Genomic DNA, 5702 nt, shown 5'->3' on the forward strand with positions numbered 1-5702 from the left:
GGTCTATTCAGAGATTCAACTTCTTCCTGGTTTAGTCTTGGGAGGGTGTATCCGTCCAGGAATTTATCCATTTCTTCTAGATTTTCTAGTTTATTTGCATAGAGGTGTTTATAGCATTCTCTGATGGTAGTTTGTATTTCTGTGGGATCGGTGGTGATATCCCCTTTATCATTTTTTTATTGCGTCTATTTGATTCTTCTTTCTTTTTGAATGAAGGCAGAAATAAAGATGTTCTTTGAAACCAGTGAGAACAAAGACACAACATACCAGAATCTCTGGGACACATTCAAAGCAGTGTGTAGAGGGAAATTTATAGCACTAAATGCCCACAAGAGAAAGCAGGAAAGATCCAAAATTGACACCTTATCATCACAATTAAAAGAACTAGAAAAGCAAGAGCAAACATATTCAAAAGCTAGCAGAAGGCAAGAAATAACTAAAATCGGAGCAGAACTGAAGGAAATAGAGACACAAAAAGCCCTTCAAAAAATTAATGAATCCAGGAGCTGGGTTTTTGAAAGGATCAACAAAATGGATAGACCGCTAGCAAGACTAATAAAGAAGAAAAGAGAGAAGAATCAAATAGACACAATAAAAATGATAAAGGGGATATCACGACCGATCCCGCAGAAATACAAACTACCATCAGAGAATACTACAAACAGCTCTACACAAATAAACTAGAAAGTCTAGAAGAAATGGATAAATTCCTTGACACATACACCCTCCCAAGACTAAACCAGGAAGAAGTTGACTCTCTGAATAGACCAATAACAGGCTCTGAATTGTGGCAATAATCAATAGCTTACCAACCAAAAAGAGTCCAGGACCAGATGGATTCACAGCTGAATTCTACCAGAGGTACAAGGAGGAGCTGGTACCATTCCTTCTGAAACTATTCCAATCAATAGAAAAAGAGGGAATCCTCCCTAACTCATTTCATGAGGCCAGCATCATTCTGATACCAAAGCCGGGCAGAGACACAACCAAAAAAGAGAATTTTAGACCAATATCCTTGATGAACATCGATGCAAAAATCCTCAATAAAATACTGGCAAACCGAATCCAGCAGCACATCAAAAAGCTTATCCACCATGATCAAGTGGGCTTCATCCCTGGGATGCAAGGCTGGTTCAATATATGCAAATCAATAAATGTAATCCAGCATATAAACAGAACCAAAGACAAAAACCACATGATTGTCTCAATAGATGCAGAAAAGGCCTTTGACAAAACTCAACAACCCTTCATGCTAAAATCTCTCAATAAATTAGGTATTGATGGGACATAACTCAAAATAATAAGGGCTATTTATGACAAACCCACAGCCAATATCATACTGAATGGGCAAAAACTGGAAGCATTCCCTTTGAAAACGGGCACAAGACAGGGATGCCCTCTCTCACCACTCCTATTCAACATAGTGTTGGAAGTTCTGGCCAGGGCAATCAGGCAGGAGAAGGAAATAAAGGGTATTCAATTAGGAAAAGAGGAAGTCAAATTGTCCCTGTTTGCAGATGACATGATTATACATCTAGAAAATCCCATGTCTCAGCCCAAAATCTCCTTAAGCTGATAAAGCAACTTCAGCAAAGTCTCAGGATACAAAATCAATGTGCAAAAATCACAAGCATTCTTATACACCAATAACAGACAAACAGAGAGCCAAATCATGAGTGAACTCCCAGTCACAATTGCTTCAAAGAGAATAAAATACCTAGGAATCCAACTTACAAGGGATGTGAAGGACCTCTTCAAGGAGAACTGCAAACCACTGCTCAATGAAATAAAAGAGGATACAAACAAATGGAAGAACATTCCATCCTCATGGATAGGAAGAATCAATATTGTGAAAATGGCCATACTGCCCAAGGTAATTTATAGATTCAATGCCATTCCCATCAAGCTACCAATGACTTTCTTCACAGAATTGGAAAAAACTTTAAAGTTCATATGGAACCAAAAAAGAGCCCGCATCGCCAAGTCAACCCTAAGCCAAAAGAACAAAGCTGGAGGCATCATGCTACCTGACTTCAAACTATACCACAAGGCTACAATTCTTCCTCAGTTCTATGGGGGCGAAATGACTTGTTCCTTGGTGGCATTCAAATTTTTCCTTCCTTTCCTCTGCTAAGTTAATTATTGCTTATCAATCTGCTTTTTGTCTCTCCAGAACTTGCTGAAATCTCATCTATTATTGTTTTATTTCCCACTCCCTTTACCCCCATGGGCTTTTATGGTTCTTTTTCTTTTACTATCATTTAGTAGAGTTTGGGATTGTGTTAAAGTTGCCTGTGGATTGATATTTAGCCATATTAAAAACACATAAATGTAATGTAACTATGAAATTGTGACTGGCACAAACTATGCTCTGGCGCCTATCTGGATTGTGGTCACATCAGTGCATAATCATTTTCAAAGGAATTTAGTTGTCTTAGCTCATGTGATGGACTCAAGGCTGTTTTTGCAGAGTTCTGTTTCTGTTGACTATAATCATTCATTTTAATGTTAAAGTTGTTTACTACTTGATTATTGGAAGGTATCTCTAGACTAAAATCATTGACATAATGAAAAGAAATCTTTAAATCTTATTTTTAAAAAGTAATACATGCACATAGTAACAAAAATGTCAAATAGCACAAAAGAGTATTCACTGAAAAATAAGTCTCCTTTACTCTCCAGTCCCCCAGCTACCCACTTCCTTTCCTTAGAGGCAATTACTGTTTCTAGTTTCTTGCATTCTTTCCGATATATTATAGGTATATTCAAGCATATATACCTTTCACTGTCACTGAAATGGCAGTATTCTATGTGTACTGACATGTATCTTGCTTTTTTCATTTAACAATATATCTTGGCGATATTCCATTTCAATGGACATAGGATCTTACCTTTTTTCTTCTGGTGGTTTTACAGTATTCTGTTGTATTAATACACTGCAATTTATTTAACCAGTTTCTTATTGATGGACATTTAGGTTGTTTCCAACCTTTTCTGCTACAAATATTGCTGCAGTGAATTTCTTCACCTTTTGTACATGTTTGAGTGTATTTGTGATATAAATTCCTATAAGTACAGTTGTTGGTTCAAAGAATATGTAGCTTTTCTTTTCTTTTCTTTTTTTTGTTTTTTTTAGACAGAGTCTTGCTCTGTCACCCAGGCTGGAGTGCAGTGGTGTGATCTCGGCTCACTGCAACCTCTGCCTCTCCCGGGTTCAAGCGATTTTCCTGCCTCAGCCTCCCGAGTAGCTGGGATTACAGGCACCCGCAACCATGTCCAGCTAATTTTTGGATTTGTAGTAGACACGGGGTTTCACTATGTTGGCCAGGCAGGTCTTGAATTCCTGACCTCAAGTGATCCACCCACCTTGGCCTCCCAAAGCGCTGGGATTACAGGCGTGAGCCACCATGCCTGACCAATATATAGCTTTAAAATTTGTCTTTGTCTTTTTGAAATGTCCCAGAGATATTTGTGAAAGCATCCTTGCTTTATGACAATAAGATGTTTGTAGGAACATTTTGCTTTCTTTCGTCTACTGCTCAAGGAACCCTGATTCCGTTTGGCAGAAAAAAAAAGATCTGGGGGATTAGGGGGGGTTTTAGATTTTTCTACATGACTACTGTTGGTAGGGAGAGGCAATCTGAATGATTTAAGTAACAAAGTGAAAGTTTTTAAGGGTGCGAGTTCATGTTGATGTTTCCAGTTTAACTTCAAGTCCTTTCTTGCTTACTGCTGTTATGAGAAATTTAAATAATTTATTCTTTTTCTTTTCATTTGTGCTACCATCTTTAATGCTCTTTTATTTATCTTCTTCTACTAACTCAAATATATTATGTTGCATATTGTCATAACAAACCATGTATTTAAATTATAATACTGTTCTGGGCTTGAGAAATACCTATTTCTTTTCTGCTCCCTGACAAGATAGGTTTCAAAGCATACGAGTTTAGATAATCCTTTATGACCACACCATCCAAACACAGAACTGGCCGTGGAAAGAAATTTTAACCTCCTGCCCATGGAGTCTCAGGGAATTCTGAGGGCATAGGGCACCCAGCATCAAAATAGAGTCCCCATGCACTTAATGGAAGTTAATGGGAAGGACAGCTAAGCAAACACTGGCTTGTGAGGTTTTTAACTAAAACCTTCCTCCAGCTTTTCTTTCCCACGTGCCAAAACAGTCTTGGCTTTTTTCCTTTGAGCCTCACTACTTCAACTTGTTTTTTTTTTTTTTTTTCATATTTTTCTTCACTGATGCTGCTGCTCATTTATTTGTTATAGGCAGTCTGAGCACTGAACTTCAATTTTTCATAGGACCTTGACTTCTTTGTTGACTTGAATGACTTCAAGGTTGTCCTAGTTTAAAGCCATCTAAGACAGTAAAAAAAAAAAAAAAAATCCCAGAAAATACATTATCAAGAATTGTGAGCCCACGGCCACGGCCACTCCAGGTTCCACAGCAAGAGCACCCAGCAGACCATGAGGAGGTGAATCAGGGTGGGCAGGTGCTGCCAGATGCTGGCTTCCCATCAGCGCAGAAGAGAGCAATCTGGACTCTCTGGACACTGTGCATGCTATTGACCCAATGTAGTGGCCTGTAGTGAGGACTTGGCGCCTCAGTGAATGGCACTATGGGGGTCTGACCAGACTCCATAAAGCAGAAACTGCTGCCAAGAATGGTGAGGCCTAGGTAAAGATGTAGATGTGCTCTTATGATGTCTCACCACCTCTGATGGAGCCCTACCACCCCTTCTATAGCAGCATTAGTAAGGATTGCAGGTATACAGACCTCACTGAAGATCAACTACCCTCTTGTGAGAGTCTGAAGGATACTATTGCAAGAGCTCTGGCCTTTTGGAATGAAGATATAGTTCCCCAGATAAAGAAGAGGAATTGGATATTGATTGAAGCCCATGACAACAGCCTTACAGGCATTATCAAGCATCTGGAGGGTCTCTCTGAAGTGGCTATCATGGAACTGAACCTGCTTACTGGTATTCCCATTGCCTATGAATTGGCCGAGAACTTGAACCCCATCAAGTCCATGCAGTTCTTAGGGGATGAAGAGGCTATGTGTAAAGCCATGGAAGCTGTGGCTGCCCAGGGCAAGGCCAAGAAGTGAAGACCATCAGGCAGACTAGTGTCCTCAGAAGCACCCTCCCTGCCCATCCCTTCTTCTGCCCCTACTTCCTGTACGTCACATTGACCACATCTGTAGGCATCTGAAGTTGTAGATGCAGATGGGGACTGATGGCTCCCATTTTCATTTCAGCCATTTGTCTCCTGCACCCACTCTCTTCAAACAATCCAGACAGGATAGCACCTCTGGGGCAAGGGGCTCAGTCCAAGCCCAGGGAAATCTCCACTTATCCAAGAGGGCTGAGAGGTAGTGACTCAGGTTTTTACCAGGGTTTTGTGTGCAAAGGACCTGCTTTAGTAAGGGATAGGAAGAAAACATGCTAAGGCATGGCCGATGAGGAGAAGCAAGAGAGCCTGTTTGCCCTTAGGAGGCAATCTTGTGTTCTTCTGTAGTCAGGCCACTTACTGGGGTACTCTAGTCATTCCAGTGGAAGATGAACGTAACCTGCATGGTGATGTAAAATAAAAAAATCCCCAAACCAAACAAAAAAACCCTGTTTCCTTCCTGACCCCAGAGGAGCTGGCTCCACTTGAAGATTGAGATCAATCCTGAATTAAATTTT

At 40.2% G+C, this 5702-nt stretch overlaps 1 pseudogene; it reads left to right on the top strand.

The window, feature by feature from the left end:
* PGAM4P1 (phosphoglycerate mutase family member 4 pseudogene 1) lies at window positions 4469-5318 on the top strand (annotated as a pseudogene).
* Window positions 5319-5702: the final 384 nt, after the last annotated feature.

The sequence above is a fragment of the Homo sapiens genome, chromosome X (genome assembly GCF_000001405.40).
Source record: "Homo sapiens chromosome X, GRCh38.p14 Primary Assembly".
NCBI lineage: Eukaryota > Metazoa > Chordata > Mammalia > Primates > Hominidae > Homo > Homo sapiens.